At 40.1% G+C, this 18,966-nt stretch overlaps 1 protein-coding gene across 40 annotated transcripts in view, besides 1 other annotated feature; it reads left to right on the forward strand.

Annotated features, from left to right (window-relative positions):
* The window catches only part of PDE4DIP (phosphodiesterase 4D interacting protein), a 224,583-nt gene that overhangs the window by 84,548 nt on the left and 121,069 nt on the right, over window positions 1-18,966 (forward strand). The window lies entirely within an intron of this gene.
* Window positions 14,478-15,053: an enhancer, noted in NCBI's record as "NANOG hESC enhancer chr1:144976465-144977040 (GRCh37/hg19 assembly coordinates)". NCBI's record gives its function as "activates a minimal SCP1, AML or CMV promoter by ChIP-STARR-seq in primed H9 embryonic stem cells {active_cell/tissue: H9 hESC(primed)}" and the evidence as "EXISTENCE:reporter gene assay evidence [ECO:0000049][PMID:30033119]".

Below are 18,966 nucleotides of genomic sequence, written 5' to 3' on the forward strand. Positions count from 1 at the left end.
CCTCCCACCCCAGCCTCCCAAGTAGCTGGGACCACAGGTGTGCCACCACACCTGGCTAATTATTTATATATATATGTGTGTGTCTGTGTGTGTGTGTGTGTGTGTGTGTGTGTGTGTGTGTATGTATTTTTTTTTTTTTTTTTTTGGCAGAGATTGAGGTCTCACTCACTATGTTGCCCAGGCTGGTCTCAAATTCCTGGGCTCAAGTGATCTTCCCACCTTGGCCTCCTAAATTGCTGGGATTACAGGCATGAGCCACCACACCCAACCACAGTTCTGTTTTGATGTAAGAACGAGGGATTCGGAAAACACTGCATTAAGACCTATTGTCAACCAGGAGACTTAGTTAGGCAAGTTACTTAGCCTCTCTGAGCCTGTTCCAGCCTCTATAGGATTGACATTAACAATAATGCTACAGATACTGAGAATTATTTTTCTATGAATAAATAGCAGCCATGAAGATGAAATAAGAAACATATCAAAACACTTTATAAACTTAATAACATCACATATATATGAGAGGGTAGTAATTATATTTCTACTAGTAGTTATAGTTATTATAAAATTTAAATATGGGGACAAGGTTTGACTCTTTATAATCTCCCCCTCATAATTCCCACAGATGTGTCTGATGTTCATTCTTGTTATTCATATTGTGATCCCACGAGATTAGGAAGATTAATTAGCAGCAATGTGCCCAGCATCACATGGTAAATCAGGTGGTTCAGAGGATAATTTAGAGTACTGTTCTGTTACCAAACTTAGTAACAGAAGTTTGATTTTTCTGTTGCTAAGAAACAGAATTTTCTTGATTCTGATTTTTTTCCTTAGCGTTGGAAGGACACTTCTTTAAAAAAAATATTGTAAAAACATTAAATCAAACTCTACTGAGTTAGAATCTGCAATAATTTGAGTGCTGTATGCGTGGTTCTTTTTAAGAAAACCAATGCTTGTGAAACATATGTAATGGAAAGTCTATTGTGAGTAGTAATTATTTTATTGATGTGCATATTTATGCTACCGGGAATTTTTGTTGAGCTGTTTGTACTTAAGAGTGAAAAATTACTCTTAGCGAGAAACAATAAAGTATTTGATTGGCTTCAGGGAAGGGAAATACGGGCAACTTTGGGAGAAGAGAACTGGAGAGTGGGTGCTATCTTTCTCTTTCCAAGTGGCAAGTCTTCTCCTAGGTAGCTGATTGAGGAGACTAAAATAGATATAATCCTTACTTGTAAATGGAAGCTATAAGGATTTTAAATTATAAGAGGAGTTGTCAAAGCTAGAGAGTTATGTTAAAAACCTAAGAGTATCAACCTCAAAGCAAGTAAATAAAAAAGAAGGAGTTTCTCTCTTTTAAGCTGTTCAGAGAATTGAGAAATAATCTTAAGAATCATCCTGGCCATGGATTAATAAAATAATATTAATTCATACATAAAAATTGGTTTCTTGAGACTGGCTACTTTTTTGTTGAGTGTTTATCCTGTAAGCTTCAATTTTTGTAAATCATCATAATAAATTTTTTAAAAAGGAAGAGGCTGCTTACCCTCTGTACCGACAGAGTGGGACATATGCCTACATGACTAGGCACTGCTACCCCCTTTTGGTAGCAAACATTAATTTTAAGTTCAGCTTTTAGGGAAGACAATTTTAAACATATAAAGCAAGCAAAGGAGAAATCATTGCAGTACACTGACTCTGAAGCAAAATAAAGTGAGAAAATGTTGTGAGTGGTCCACAGCTGAGTATGGCCCACTCCTAGGGAGACTGGCTTGTTAGCATTTCTGGACTGCAGCTGCTGTGGTAAGTAATTTTTGGGTGGCAACTTGGCTGACTTCCTCATTGTTGATTGCCTAATCCTGCATTTTCTCATATTAGTCAAGTGTGTCGCTACTGGAATCTTGTCTGACCCTGGAATTTATGAAATCCACTGCTGTGTGGTAAACACCCAGTCTCCAAACAGCACACAAAACCATCATCCACTGGGTTTTGCCCCCTGATGACTACTTGTTCAACTTGTGTGAATTAAGTTTCCATTCTAAGAATGAAATTGAAAAACTGACAAGGCCAGATCTGATAGCAAAAGGGTCAGGAGAAATAAAATGTTGTCGTCCTTGACCAGATAGAGTCAATGTTTAAATATGATGTAATGATATTGGAAGGTTAAAGTGGACTTAGCCCTTAGATATGAGTTGAGAGAGTTGTGTTGCGTTGTTTTATGACCCTTAAGCTGCCTGACTTCTCTGAGATTGAAACTTCTTTGGTTTTCTCATCTTTGAGATTGGATGATACTTTTCCTGCGCAATCTTTGAGGTTTATGCATAGCATACTTCTATAGCTATGGTAAACAGCCTACTGATTTTACTTGCCTACCAAATTGTCCTTGTTTTTACTATTCTGTTATTGCTGGGCATAACGGCTAAGAGCTATAAATTGGCGAGACCTGGGGTGAAATCTTGATTTTTCTACTTACTATTTGTGTTGGGAAAAATACCATAATTTCTCTGAGCTAAAGCAAGGGCAGTAATAACACCTATCTTATAGGGTCTAGAGGAGGATGAAATGAGTCAATTAGCTGAACTCAGCATAATGCCTATCACATAGTAAGCTCTCAATAAATATTTGCCATTATTGTGACAAATTGAGAGACGGCAAACTTATCCAGATAAGTCTTAATTACTGACACATTCATGCTGGACTATTTTTTATTCCAAATCAGTTTCTTTTTCCTCAATAGTGGACTTGGGACCATTTGTCCTATTTGTCTCAATTCTCAATTTTTGTTTGCTTGTGTGTAAATAACATAATATAATCCAAGTGTCCCTATTGCATCAAATTTACCTTGGCATTCTCAGATACAAATGTTCATTCAAAGAAAATAAATAAGAAAGGCTGGGTTGATTAAATTTCTTTTTGGCTCATTGACTGATTTTCTTTGGTCCTAGCCTGATTTCTTTAGGCTTTGGGCAACATGATGAGGAACAATATACCTGCAGACTTACAAGGAAGCTCAGGAACTCCATCAGGCGGTAGGATTTAGGAAGCTGGACTTGAACCAAAGGAAGGCTATTAGAGAAGGATGAGTATCTTGGGGGGTTATCAAAAATGTTGTGATAAAAGTTTTGAACTCTAAGGAAACCTGAATTCTTAACCTGCCTTTTCTAGCTACATGATCTTGGCCAAGTCACTTAACTTCTGTGAACCTTAGTTTCCTAAATTAGAGTCATCAATTCCTGTCGTGCTCTTCTCCCCCATGGGTAAACATGTTTTAGTGTATTAGACGTTAGATAAATAGAAAGGATTGTGATTTCTATCCTGCATAGCTGGAGACACATACTAGAAAGCATGCACCTGCTCAGGTTATTGTCTAAAGTGGCTGTGTGGCTGCTGTTGCCAGAATTAATGCTTGTCTTCTTATATGTAGCAGAGTTTGCTCTTCTTTTACACTTGGATGCCTTATTTAATTAGTGGCTATGTTTTTTTCTCCTATGTTTTACTTACACGAACTTTAAGAAATGTGTATGATGGGAAAGGAGGAACATAAGAGACAGACAAGATTACATTAGCCAAACTATTTTTAAATGGTTCTCTGGAAGCCTAGTATGAACATGGTCCATGTGTGTCTGTGTCTACGCACACTGTGTGTGCCAATTCCCCATTCTCAGCCTTCTGAGGTTCGTGAGGTCATGCTTACCTATTTCTTCTTTCAGGGAATGAAAGTTGGCAGAAATAGAGGGAATCCATCCATTAAATATTTGTAACCAATATTTATGATTTTGGTTAAATATTTTTTTAAACTTCACACTCATTAGGATGGCTATTATACTAAAAATCAAACAACCCAGAAAATAACAAATACTAGTAAAGATGTGGAGAAATTGGAACCCTTGCACATTGCTAGAAAGAATGTGAAATGGTGCAGGTGCTGTGAAAACCAGTATGGAGTTTCTCAAAAAATTAAACATAGACTTACCGTATAATCCAGCAATTCTACTCTGGGTATAACACAAAATAAATGAAAACAGGAACTCAAATAGATATTTGTATTTCTGTGTTCATAGGAGCATTGTTTACAGTAGCCAACAGGTGGAAGCAACTCAAGTGTTCATTGACAAATGAGTGGATAAACAAAATGTGGGCTATATAGACACTGGATATTATTTAGCCTTAGAAAGGTATGAAACTCTGACATGTGCTGTAACATGAGTGAACCTTAAAGATGTCATGCTAAGTAAAGTCAGTCCCTAAAGGACAAATATTTATTATTTCACTTAAATGAAGTACCTAGAGTAGTCAAATAATGAAGACAGAAAGTGGAACTATGGTTGCCAGGGGTTGTGGGGAGGAGGGAATGGGGAGTTAGTGGCTACAGTTTCATTTGGGAAAAAGTTCTGGAGATGGATAGTGATATTTGAACAACTATGTGAATGTACTTAATGCCATAGAACTATATGCTTTAAAATAGTTAAAATGGCAAATTTTATTATATGTATATTTTAACACACACACACAAAATGTTTAGGCCTGGCATGTTGGCGCATGTCAGTAATCCCAGCACTTCGCAAGGCCAAGGTGGGAGGATCACTTGAGCCCAGGAGTTTGAGACCAGCCTGGGAAACATAGCAAGACTGCATCTCTGTAAATTTTTTTTTTTTTAATTAGCTGACATAGTGGTGTGTGGCTGTGGTACCAGCTACTTGGGAGGCTGAGGTGGGAGGATTGCTTGAGCCCAGAAGGTTGAGGCTGCAGTGAGCCATGATTGTGCTCCTGCATTCTAGCCTGGGTGACAGAGTGAGACCCCATCTCACACATACACACAGAAAAAAAAATGCTTAAAGCAACTTTCCCCAAAAAAGTCAGTTGCTTATAAAAATAGTGGAACTCTTAACCAAAGGCAACTCTGTTTTCTGCTTTTCCTTAACACAACTTATCTCATTTTTTCAGAGCTTTTAATTAGAATTCATAATACTTGCCTGTTGAGAAATGCTTCTTCCCTTTGAATACTTAGGAATTTTTCTTTCAACCACTGGAAAACAAATCCCAGACTAAATTCTGGGCCCTAATTTAATTCTAATCCACTTTCAGTTATCCCCCTAACAATGTCTACATAATTTATACTTCTGCATGAACTTATTACAAGGCCACTTCTTTCTATAGTGTATGTACATTCAGGTTTATGCACTGATAGAAGTAGCATGTTACACTTGAAAAAAATAGACATTCTAAATTTCTGTCTCAAATGTTTCCCTTGTTTGCAATATCATTTTAGTCATTTTTTTGCTCATATTTGCGCATATGCATTGGTATATTCAGTCAAACGTCTATTGATTATCTACTATATGCCAGCTACTGTGCTAGATTCTGGTGGAGAAGACATCAACAAATAAATAAAAATGGTATAATAAGGGCTGCCATAGAGGTATGGACAGATTTTGCTATAGTGCAATAAAATCCACCAGGAAAGGCCTTGCCAAGTGTTTGAAGTTTGCATTGAATCCTAAAAGGTAGTAACATAACAAGAAATGGGAAAAGGCATTTCTTTTTTCTTCTTTTTTTTTTTTTTTTGAGATGGAGTCTCACTTTGTGGCCCAGGCTGGAGTGCAGTGGCGCCATCTTGGCTTGCTGCAATCTCCACCTCCCAGGTTCAAGCGATTCTCCTGCCCCAGCCTCCTGAGTAGCTGGGATTACAGATGCTGTGAAACATACGCTAATTTTTCATATTTTTAGTAGAGACGGGTTTTCACCACGTTAGCCAGGCTGGTCTCAATCTCCTGACCTCGTGATCCACCCACTTCGGCCTCCCAAAGTGCTGAGATTACAGGCATGAGCCACCATGCCTGGAAAATCCAGAAATTCTTTTTTTTTTACTTTGAGACAGAGTCTTGCTCTGTCGGCCAGGCTGGAGTGCAGTGGCATGATCTCGGCTCACTGCAACCTCCGTCTCCTGGGCTCAAGCGATTCTCCTGCCTTAGCCTCCCAAGTAGCTGGGATTACAGGCGTGTGTCACCATGCCCGGCTAATTTTTGTATTTTTAGTAGAGATGGGGTTTCGCCATGCTGGCCAGGGTGGTCTCAAACTCCTTACCTCAGGTAATCCACCCACCTCGGCCTCCCAAAGTGCTGGGATTATAAGTGTGAGCCAATGCGCCTGGTGGGAAAAGGCATTTCAAACAGAAGAAACAATATACAAAAGCAGAGGTGTACAAAAGCAATGTGCACTTGGCACACTGGAATCATTCAGTATGGCTAGATCATGTGGTTTGGAGGGCTTGTGGTGGTGGTAAGATGAGGCTGCAGGGGAGAAATCATGGAAAGCTTTGGACTTATCCATTCATTCATTAATAAACATTAATTAGGTACCTGCTATGTTCCAAGTACTAGAAGTTGGGACTTCAAAGATGAGTAAACCACAGGTGCTAGAGTATAGTAAAAGGCAGTAACAGAGCTGTGTACAAAGTGTAAGGAAACTCAAAGGGGGCACTTCTATCCCAAATGAATAGAGTGGATGGAAAGAAAATCTGCAAAGGATTATTCGTGATGACCCCTGAACTTTGTCTTCAAAGGGGAATAAGCACTAATCAGTCAATGGATGATGAAGTGGAAGGACAGAGTTTTTGTCACAAGCAAAAGCCTTGAGGCAAGAAACCATAGGGTGCTTGCACAGAATTAGAAGTGGTTTGGTGTTGGTGGATTTAAGTACTAGGCGAAGAATGAGACTGATATGACGGACACAGTCTTTTGTGCCATTTTAAAGAGTGTAGACTTTATCCTGAAGAAGACAAGGCACCACTGATGGGCTTTAAGCTGCAGGGAACCTGCTAGATCCCTCTGATGCATGGGAAAGGTGGATTCAAGAGAGTCAAGGCAGGAAGTGAGTGAGAACAGACTTGCCAAGCCAAAGAAGATGAAGGCCCGAATGAGGGCTGTGGCAGTAGGAATAGAGGGGAGGCAACTCATCTTTAAAATATTTAAGAGGTAAAATATTTGTAGGACTTGATGATTGATCAGGACGGGAGAATTGAGGGAAAGGAATCAAGAGGAAGGCCAGGCTAAGGCAAGTCACTTTTTCTGGGCTTCTGGTTCTTTGTGTTTAAATGAGTGGGCTGGACCAGGATTGACGCACACATCCCTCCCAGTTCTGAAGTCCTGTGATTCTGGGCAGCCTTTCTCTGGGCGCAGAGAAAGGAAGCTCTATGATACATGGGTGTTCTCACCACAGCTTAGATAGTTGCTTAAAAGAGACTCATAGTTTCTCAGCTTCTCTGACAGCTTCTCAGGATGGGAGGTGGCAGGCAGAGCTGAGATGGCTTTAGAACTGCCAGCCAATGCAGGGAAATCTAGTGCGGTTACCAGGTAGCCGGAGTTATAATTAGCCTCGTTGCTAGGGCAAGGCTGAGATTCTGTAAGCATGGACTGCCAGCAACAGCTTTTCCCTGCTGGGTGAATTTACTTGTTTGAAAGAACAAAGTGGGTATGGATGGGGTGTTTTTAAATGTGTTTTAGATAATTTAAATTTTGCCCTAGGTATAGGATATGTTTAAAGCAGAAAACAGGTTTGTGTTGGGGCTGATCAACATCTTGCCTGGGGCAGAAGGAGTGAGGAAAAATTCCACTCTGTTATATGTTTGGATAGCTGGAAAGAGACTTACTTTCACCTGAAGGAAGATAAGTAAGAACATAAAATCATTATTCAGAGGTAGAGAGGATCTTGAAGATAATCTACATAATCCTTTCACTTTTTAAGAAAACCATTTATTTAAAAATAATTTTAGACTTATAGCAAAGTTATAAAAATAGTACAGAGTGTTCCCGTATGCCATTCACTCAGCTTCCTCTAAAGAATAAACCCTTCATTTTAAAGATAAGATGACTAAAGCTCAGAATAGTAATTTGCCTAACGTCACACGGTAAATTAGTAGCCAAGCTGAGACTAGAATCCAGGAGCCCTAACTACCTGTTCAGGCTGCTTACAATGACCTCTGGGACCTTCAACAAAAATTCAAGAAATGTAAGTGCTTGTCAGAACTTAGTTTTTCTTTCTTTTTGCATTACTGGGCTAAAATAGAACTCACACAGCAGGAGCTAGAGTAATTCACAGAGAGATGAATCTGCACTCTGCGCCTACTGCCAAAAGAAAAGGTTTAGTTCCTCAGCCTCCTCAGGAGTTTCATCCATATGTTTTCAAAAGTCACCGTGAACATATTTTTCTCTTTTGCCTTGCTCCCTGCTCTGGCTTTTGCCATCTCATCTGATCAAGTTCAACTGCACAGAGAGAGGAGGCTCTATGATACATGGAGTAGGCACAGAGCGGGGCTGGTGCAAACTGGAAAGGGGCCCGCCCTATCATGTTCAATAGCAGCTAATCCACCCACACACCGACAGCAGTGATCCGACTTGGTACATGCCGTTCTGTGGAGAGCTAAGTAATAGTCATGTGGCTTTTTGCCAAGCAACTTTAGAAGTGACATTGGGCCACAGTGGGCAGTTACTATCCCTGTTATTTAGAAACTTGGCTTGATGAAGTGGGGAGTGAATGCAAGGCACAAGCTGCATTGTAATGCCAGCTTTTCATATCCCAGCCTCATGTAAGCCCTGCTGCTGCAAAGGGCTACAAGCCACCTCTTCATGCACACAGGGCTTTAGAAAGCCCACCCAGAGGCTTGGGAAGAGGAAGCCCTTCTTTAAGGTGCCTGGATGAGCGGCAGGGAGGCTGCCAGCATGATGGCTATGATCTGGAGCTGCAGAAAGAGGGTCTAGGCACTGGTCAAGGGCCTGAAGTCAGCCAGTTCTTTCAGGTCACTTTTTCTTGGTAAGTCTCAGATCTTCTCCCTGAGACCACACAGGTAGCTTCCTCTCTCAGAGTTACTCCGTCAGACCTCACACTCCAGATTCTCATCAGTCAAGTTCAGTATCTGCCCAACACAAAAGTAAATCTAGTCTTGCCCACTGTGAACTCCGAAAATTTGAGACAGGTCTCAGTAAATTTAGAAAGTTTATTTTGCCAAGGTTGAGGACACGTGCCCCTGGCATAGCCTCAGGAAGTCTTTATGACATGTGACCAAGGTGTTTGGGGCACAGCTTGGTTTTGTACATTCTAGGGAGACATGAGACATCAATCAATGTATGTAAGAAGTACATTGGTTCGGTCTGGAAAGGCGGGACAACTTGAAGCAAAGGCAGGAAAACTTGCAGTGGGGGAGGCGGCTTCTAGGTCACAGAAGAGAGACAAAAGGTTGCATTCTTTTGAGTTTCTAATTAGCCTTTCCAAAGGAGGCAATCAGATATGCATTTATCTCAGTGAGCAGAGAGATAACTTTGAATAGAATGGGAGGCAGGTTTGCCCTAAACAGTTTCCAGCTTGAGTTTTCCTTTTATTTTTTGTATTTTCATTTCCATAGGTTATTGGGGAACAGATGGTGTTTGGTTACATGAGTAATTTCTTTAGTGGTGATTTGTGAGATTTTGGTGCACCCATCACCCAAGCAGTATATACTGCACCCTATTTGTGATCTTTTATCCCTCACCCACTTCCCCCCCTTTCCCCTTGAGTCCCCAAAGTCCACTGTGTCATTCTTATGCCTTTGTATCCTTATAGCTTAGCTCCCACTTATGAGTGAGAACATACAATGTTTGGTTTTCCTTTCCTGCCTTACTTCACTTAGAATGATAGTCTCCAATCTCATCCAGATCATTGTGAATGCGTTAATTTATTCCTTTTATTGGCTGAGTAGTATTCTATCATATATATATATATATATATATATATCCATCATATATATATATATGTGTGTGTATATACACACCACAGTTTCTTTATCCACTCATTGATTGGTGGGCACTTGGGTTGGTTCCACGTTTTTGCAGTTGTGAACTGTGCTGCTATACATATGCGTGTTCAAGTATCTTTTTTGTATAATGACTTCTTTTCCTCTAGGTAGATACCCTGTAGTGGGATTGCTGGATCAAATGGTAGTTCTACTTTTAGTTTTTTAAGGAATCTCCACATTGTTTTCCATAGTGGCTGTACTAGTTTACATTCCCACAAGCAGTGTAGAAGTGTTCCCTGTTCACTGCATCCACATCCATATCTACTATTTTTTTATTTTTTTGATTATGGCCATTCTTGCAGGAGTAAGGTGGTATCACATTGTGGTTTTGATTTGCATTTCCCTGATTATTAGCGATGTTGAGCCTTTTTTCATATGTTTGTTGGCCATCTGTATATCTTCTTTTGAGAACTGTCTATTCATATCCTTAGCCCACTTTATGATGGGATTGTTTGTTTTTTTCTTGCTGATTTGTTTGAGTTTGTTGTAGATTCTGGATGTTAGTCCTTTGTCAGATGTACAGACTGTGAAGATTTTCTCCCACTCTGTGGGTTGTCTGTTTACTCTGCTGACTGTTCCTTTTGCCGTGCAAAAGCTCTTTAGTTTAATTAAGTCCCAGCTGTTTGTCTTTGTTTTTATTGCATTTGCTTTTGGGTTCTTGGTCGTGAAATCCTTGCCTAAGCCAATGTCTATAAGGGTTTTTTCGATGATACCTTCTAGAATTTTTATAGTTTCAGAACTTAGATTTAAATCCTTAATCCATCTTGAGCTGATTTCTGTGTAAGGTGAGAGATGAGGATCCAGTTTAGTTCTCTTACGTGTGGCTAGCCAATTATCCCAGCACCATTTGTTGAAAAGGGTGTCCTTTCCCCACTTTATGTTTTTGTTTGCTTTGTCGAAGATCAGTTGGCTGTAAGTATTTGAGTTTATTTATGGGTTATCTATTCTGTTCCATTGGTCTCTGTGCCTATTTTTATGCCAGTATCATGCTGTTTTGGTGACTATGGCCTTATAGTATAGTTTGAAATCAGGTAATGTGATGCCTATAGATTTATTCTTTTTGCTTAGTCTTGCTTTGGCTATGCGGGCTCCTTTTTGGTTCCATATGAGTTTTAGAATTGTTTTTTCTAATTCTGTAAAGAATGATGGCGGTATTTTGATGGGAATTGTGTTAAATTTGTAGATTGCTTTTGGCAGTATGGTCATTTTCACAATATTGATTCTACCCATCCATGAGCATGGGATGTGTTTCCATTCATTTGTGTCGTCTATGATTTCCTTCAGCAGTGTTTTGTAGTTTTCCTTGTAGAGGTCTTTCACCTCCTTGGTTAGGTATATTCCTAAGTATTTTATTTTATTTTATTTTTTGCAGCTGTTGTAAAAGGGGTTGAGTTCTTGATTTGATTCTCAGCTTGGTCGCTGTTGGTGTATAGAAGAGCTACTGATTCGCATGCATTAATTTTGTATCCAGAAATTTTGCTGAATTGTTTTATCAGTTCTAGGAGCTTTCTGGAGGACTCTAGGATTTTCTAAGTAAACAATAATATCATCAGCAAATAGTGACAGTTTGACTTCCTCTATAACAATTTGGATCCCCTTTATTTCTTTCTCTTGTCTTGCTCTGGCTAGGACTTCCAGAACTATGTTGAAGAGGAGTGGTGTGAGTGGGCATCCTTGTCTTGTTTCAGTTCTCAGAGGAAATGCTTTTAACTTTTCCCCCAGTCATTATTACGTTGGCTGTGGGTTTGTCATAGATGGCTTTTATTACATTGAGATATGTCCCTTGTATGCTGATTTTGCTGAGAGTTTTAATCATAAGGGGATGCTGGATTTTGTCAAATGCTTTTTCTGCATCTATTGAGATGATCATGGTGATTTTTGTTTTTAATTTTGTTTATGTGGTGTACCACATTTATTGACTTGCGTATGTTAAACCTCCCTGCATCCCTGGTATGAAACCCACTTGATCATGGTGGATTATATTTTTGATATGTTGTTGGATTCGGTTAGCTAGTATTTTGTTAAGGATTTTAGTATCGATGTTCATCAAGGATATTGGTCTGCAGTTTTCTTTTTTGGTTATGTCCTTTTCTGGTTTTGGTATTAGGGTGATGCTGGCTTCGTAGAATGATTTAGGGAGGGTTCCCTCTTTCTCAATCCTATGAAATAGTGTCAATAGGATTGGTACCAATTCTTTGAATGCCTGGTTACATTCTGCTGTGAATCCATCCGGTCCTGGACTTTTTTTGTTAGTAATGTTTAAATTAGCATTTCAATCTTGTTGCTTGTTATTGGTCTGTTCAGAGTATCTAATTCTTCCTGATTTAAGCTAGGAGGGTTGTATCTTTCCAGGAATTTATCCATCTCTTCTAGGTTTTTTTTTTTTTTTTTTTTTTTGAGATGGAGTCTTGCTCTGTCGCCTAGGCTGGAGTGCAGTGGTGCGATCTCGGCTCACTACAAGCTCCGCCTCCCGGGTTCATGCCATTCTCCTGCCTCAGCCTCCCGAGTAGCTGGGACTACAGGTGCCCACCATGGCGTCCGGCTAATTTTTTGTATTTTTATTTTTATTTTTTATTTTTTATTTATTTTATTTTATTATTATTATACTTTAAGTTTTAGGGTACATGTGCACAACGTGCAGGTTAGCTACATATGTATACATGTGCCATGCTGGTGTGCTGCACCCATTAACTCGTCATTTAGCATTAGGTATATCTCCTAATGCTATCCCTCCCCCCTCCCCCCACCCCACAACAGTCCCTAGAGTGTGATGTTCCCCTTCCTGTGTCCATGTGTTCTCATTGTTCAATTCCCACCTATAAATAATGCCGCATATCTACAACTATCTGATCTTTGACAAACCTGAGAAAAACAAGCAATGGGGAAAGGATTCCCTATTTAATAAATGGTGCTGGGAAAACTGGCTAGCCATATGTAGAAAGCTGAAACTGGATCCCTTCCTTACACCTTTTTTGTATTTTTAGTAGAGACGGGGCTTCACCATGTTAGCCAGAATGGTCTCGATCTCCTGACCTTGTGATCCGCCCACCTTGGCCTCCCAAAGTGCTGGGATTACAGGCGTGAGCCACCACGCCCGGCAGCTTTATTTATCTTTTCAAAGAACCAGGTTTTCATTTCATTTATCTTTTGTATTTTTTGTTTGTTTGTTTCAGTTTCATTTAGTTCTGCTCTGATCTTGGTTATTTCCTTTCTTCTGCTGGTTTGGGTTTGGTTTGTTCTTGTTTCTCTAGTTCCTTGAAGTGTGACCTTTGATTGTCTGTTTGTGCTCTTTTAGACTTTTTGATGTAGGTGTTTAGGAATATGAACTTCCCTTTTAGCACTGACTTTGCTGTATTCCAGAAGTTTTGATAGGTTGTATCACTATTTTTGTTCAATTTGAAGATTTTTTTAATTTCCATCTCGATTTCATGATCATTCAGGAGCAGGTTAATTTCCATGTATTTGCATGGTTTTGAAAGCTCCTTTTGGAGTTGATTTCCAGTTTTATTCCACTGTGGTCTGAGAGAGTGCTTGATAAAATTTCAATTTTCTTAAATTTATTGCGGCTTGTTTTGTGGCCTACCATGTGGTCTATCTTGGAGAAAGTTCCATGCACTGTTGAATAGAATGTATATTCTGCAGTTGTTGGATGGAATGTTCTGTATATATGTGTTAAGTCCATGTGTTCCAGGGTATAGTTTAAATCCATTGTTTCTTTGTTGACTTTCTGTCTCATTGGCCTGTCTAGTGCTGTCAGTGACATATTGAAGTCCCCCACTATTATTGTGTTACTGTCTATCTCATTTCTTAGGTCTATTAGTGATGGTTTTATAAATTTGGGAGCTCCAGTGTTAGGTGCATATATGTTTAGGATTGTGATATTTTCCTGTTGGACAAGGCCTTTTATCATTATATAATGCCGCTCTTTGTCTTTTTTAACTGCAATTTCTTTAAAGTTTGTTTTGTCTGATATAAGAATAACTACTGCTGGGCCAGGCACGGTGGCTTATGCCTGTAATCCTAGCACTTTGGGAGGCCAAGGCAGGCAGATCACCCCTGCCTGTACTAAACCTATCTGTACTAAAAATACAAAAATTAGCTGGGCATGGTGGTGCACACCTGTAGTTCCAGCTACTTGGGAAGCTGACACAGGAGAATTGCTTGAACCTGGGAGGCGGAGGTTGCAGTGTGCCAAGATCGCGCCATTGCACTCCAGCCTGGACTACAAGAGTGAAACTCCATCTCAAAAAAACCAAAAAAAACAAAAAAACAATAGTTACTTCTGCTTGCTTTTGCTTTTGGTGTCCATTTGCATGAAATGTCTTTTTCCACCCCTTTACCTTAAGTTTATGTGAGTCCTTATGTGTCAGATAAGTCTCTTATGTGTTAGGTGAGTCTCTTAAAGGCAGCAGATAGTTGGTCGGTTAATTCTTATCCATTCTGCAATTCTGTATCTTTTAAGTGGCGCATTTCGGCCATTTACATTCAATGTTAGTATTGGGATGTGAGGTACCATTCCGTTCATTGTGCTTTTTGTTGCCTGTATACCTTGGTTTTTTGGGTTTTGTTTTTGTTTTTTTGAATTGTATTTTTGTTTTATAGGTCCTGTGAGATTTATATTTTAAAGAGGTTCTGTTTTGATGTGTTTCCAGGTTTTGTTTCAAGATTTGAAGCTTCTTTTAGCAATTCTTGTAGCGCTGGCATGGTAGTGGCAAATTCTCTCAGCATTTGTTTGTCTGAAAAATACTGTATCTTCTCTTCGTATATGAAGCTTAGTTTCACTGGATACAAAATTCTCGGCTAATAATTGTTTTGTTTTAGGATGCTGAAGATAGGGGCCCAATCCCTTCTGGCTTGTAGGATTCCTGCTGAGAAATCTGCTGTTAATCTGACAGGTTTTCCTTCATAGGTTACTGGGTTCTTTTGTCTCACAGCTCTTAAGATTCTTTCTTTTGTCTTAACTTTAGATAACCTGATGACAATGTGCCTAGGTGACGATCTCTTTGCAATAAATTTCCCAGGTGTTCTTTGTGCTTCTTGTATTTGTTTAGGTCTCTAGCAAGGTTGGGGAAATTTTCCTCAATTATTCCCCCAAATATGTTTTTCAAACTTTTAGATTTCTCTTCTTCCTCAGCAATGCCAATTATTCTTAGGTTTGGTCATTTAACATAATCCCAGAGTTTTTGGAGGCTTTGTTCATATTTTCTTATTTGTTTTTCTTTGTCTTGGTTGGATTGGGTCAAATTGAAGACTTTGTGTTCGAGCTCTGAATTTCTTTCTTCTACTTGTTTGATTCTATGGCTGAGACTTTCCAGACCATTTTGCATTTCTATAAGTAAATACTAACACAGTATTTGGTGTGTCTCCTGGGTCCTGCAGGAGCCATCTGCTTCCTTCAGGGGGCCTGTGGGTCCTCTCAGGTTTTGTAATTTATTCCTCCAGTCGTTCTGGAGCAAAAATTCATGATATGAGCCTCCACATGCTTCTCTGTCCATCCGAGTCGGAGCTGCAATCTAGTCCTGACTTCCATCCACCATGATCCTGAGTTTTCCTTTTAGCTTAGTGATTTTGGGAGCCCAAGATATTTTCCTTTCCCACCCACCTAGCACAGTTGTATTGATGACAACAGGGTTGTCAACTCTCTACTTCAAAAATCAGGAAGTGCTGGGTCCAGAGCTGGATTCCCAGAGTCTTGCTGTAGCAGAAATCAAATGAAGGCGGTGAACTTCTGGGACTCAGAGGAGCAGATCCCTTAGAGGTGGGGAGCAGTATTGTTCTAAGGCTTGTTCTTTCCAACCCCTTCTAGTCTGTGGGATTGTGGGGAAGCTCAGCTTGCTGACAAAACCATTTGGAGCCTCAGAAGACTAGGAGGCAGGTTAGTAATAACCAGTCCCTGCCATCTTCTGTGAAGCTGGGGTGAGAGCAGACAGGTTCCTTCAGCTGTGTGGAAGCTTGGTTCTGTAGGGAGCACATAAAAGGGCTGGAGAGAATTGCTGCAGTTAGAGGATGGTGATGTCAATTAGGAATGGAATTCCACCTGACGCTTTCTGAGTTGGCCTTCAACTGCTAGCTTCCAAATTTCTACCTCCCGTCTCCTTCCTCCTGTTTTCTCTACTGCTGCAAGGGGACAGGGTCTTAACCAGTGCCTAACGTTCTTGATATAAGGTGCAGGAAAATAAATGGTTATAAGGAAAGCAGCCTGAGGACTCCTTCCCTATAATTTGCAGCTACTTTATCTGCAGAAGAGGTTTCTAGACCCAGGTCTTGTCCCATCTTCTGGTATTAAATTCTTCCTACTCTTAGGCCCTTTCTGTCCTTCTTTGCCCCATATCCTCCCCCCACTTTTCCCAAATTCACTCATGCACATGGCAAGTAAACGCTAAATACTTCCCATTTAAATGCTATAGAGGAAGAAATCTGTTTTGTGTTTACTGTGTGCCAGGCACCATGTTATGCATTTTACACATATTTAATTTCAACCATATAATAGTCCTATGAAGTGGGTGTCTTGTTCCCATTTTTCACAGGATGAAATTTGCCATCAATAGGCTCAGGGAGAGTACCTGGTATCCCAGCAGCCGTGTGGCCTCATTCTACAGTTAAGCAAGGCTTTGGTACATTCTTTAGAATTTAGTTAGTAACTCTTTCAAATGCAAATGATGTTTTCCAGTGAATAACTACATTGTGTTATTCACTGGAGAGAAAGAAAGGACTCTAGTAAAATGATATTTACTTTCGTAGTGACTTTTGCCAAGATTGTGGCAGGAAGGGGTGGCATTGTCTCATTGAGGTACCTGCAGTACAAGGTGGCATTGACCTCATTTTTACTCTTAAAACAGGTGCAACTTGCCGTGTGCAATGTGCCTGGGCTGTCCTTATCTGTATAGGTTGCCCTGTTAGGCTTGTGCTGAGTCTGGTTTGGAACTCCAGAATTCAGAGGAAATAGGAAATTCGTTAAACCAAACTAAAAAGGTTAGAAAATGAGGCTTATGTGAAAAGGGCAATGGAATTGGGATTTTTACTTTGGGGGAAAACAGACTTACAGGTGACCTAATAATGCCTTTTAGGTACTGAAGTCTCAATATGTGACAAGTGGTAATTAGTTATTCTCTGTCTCTGCCGAAGATAAGAATAGGTCAATCCTAGTTTAAACTAAACATTAGTCTTCATTCATTTAAAAATATGTACTAAGCCCCTACTGTGTTCTAGTTTCTATTGGAGGTGACTGGAGTATATATCAATATATTCATGTATAAGTCTTTGTTTTATTTCTTTCGGGTAAATACCCAGTAGTGGAACTGTTAGGTCATATAATAAGCACATACAGGCATTCCCATCCTCATAGAACTTATAGTCTGTCATGAGTAGACAGAAAATAAACAATAAATATTATAAATAAAGTATGTAGAATGTTGGAAAGTGAAAGTCCTCTTGGGGCAGGGGAAGGAGAGCATTTAAATGCTTCCCATTTATTTCTGATCAGCTCTTGATAGAAAAAAAATTGCTCCCTATTTAAATCCTATGGAAGAAGAAATCCATTTAGTGTTTACTATAAGCCAGGCACCATGTTATGCATTTTACACATATTTAATCTCAATCAAGTAATAGTCCTACGAAGTGGGGGTCTTGCCCCACTTCAAAAATGAGCAAAGGTGTGGTGGCTCAAATCTGAAACTCCAGCACTTTGGGAGGCAGTGGTGGAAGGATTGCTAGAGCCTAGGAGGTCAAGGCTGCAGTGAGCTGTGTTTGTATCACTGAACTCCAGTGATCAGACTGCACTCCTGGGCAACAGATCGAGACCTTGTCCCAACTAAAAAATGGGCAAAGGACATGAACGGAAGACATACATGGGGCCAACAAATATTTGAAAAAATTCTCATGCTCAATATCACTGATCATTAGAGAAATGCAAGTCAAAACCACAATGAGACACCATTGCACACCAGTCAGAATGCCTACTGTGAAAAACAAAAAATAAGGTGTTGGCAAGGTTGTAGAGAAAAGTGCTTATACGCTGTTGGTGAGAAGGTAAATTAGTTCAGTCACTGCGGAAAGCAGTTTGGTGATTTCTCAAAGAATTTAAAAGAGAACTACCATTTGACCCAGGAATCCCATTACTGGATATATACCCAAAGGAAAATAAATTGTTCTACCAAAAAGACACATGCACTTACATGTTCACTGCAGCACTATCCACAATAGCAAAGGCATGGAATCAACCTAGATACACATCAACAGTAGACTGGGGAGGAAAAATACGGTACATATAAAGCACGGAATACTATGCATCCATTAAAAGAATGAAATCATGTCTTCTGCAGCAAAAGAGATGCAGCTGGAGGCCATTATCATAAGCTAATTAACACAGGCACAGAAAACCAAATACTGCATGTTCTCACTTATAAGTGAGAGCAAAACTTTGAGACATGGACACAAAGATGGGAACAATAAGCACTGGGGCCTACCCCAGTGGAAGGTAGAAGGGGGGCGAGGGTTGAAAAGCTAACTATTGGGTACTATACTTACTACCTGCGTGATGGGTTCATTCATACACCAAACCTCCGCAACATGCAAGTTACCCATGTAACAAACCTGCACATGTACCCCCTGAACCTAAAACAAATGTTGAAAAAAAATTACAGGAGTGGAGAGCAGGTTGCAGTATTAAGGAGTGGCCAGGAGAGGCCGTGTTTAGAAAGCGATTTAAAACACCCTTCCATACCCAAATGCACAGCCACCCCTACCCCCATCCCTCCTTCACCCCCCAACACATTTATTATCTCACAGTGTGTGTGGGTCAGGAATCCAGGCACCGCTTAGCTGGGTTGTCTGCTTAGGGTCTCCCTAGGCTACAGCCAAGGTATTGGCCAGGCTGCATTCTCCTCTAGAGGCTTGACTGAGGAATCTGACTCAGAGCTCACTTGGGCTGTCAACAGAATCCATTTCTTTGTAGCAGTAGGACTGAGGGCCTTGACTTCTTGCCAGAGGTTGGCTAGAGGCTGTCCAGGGTTCCTTGAAGTCACCTAGTGTTCCTTGCCATGTGAGCTTTCCCCATATGGCCACTTCAAGTCAGCAAGGAGAGGCTCTAGAGCAAATCTGCAAGCAAGAGAGCCTTGAAATTTAATATAATCACAGGAGTGACA

This window comes from Homo sapiens, chromosome 1, assembly GCF_000001405.40.
Source record: "Homo sapiens chromosome 1, GRCh38.p14 Primary Assembly".
NCBI lineage: Eukaryota > Metazoa > Chordata > Mammalia > Primates > Hominidae > Homo > Homo sapiens.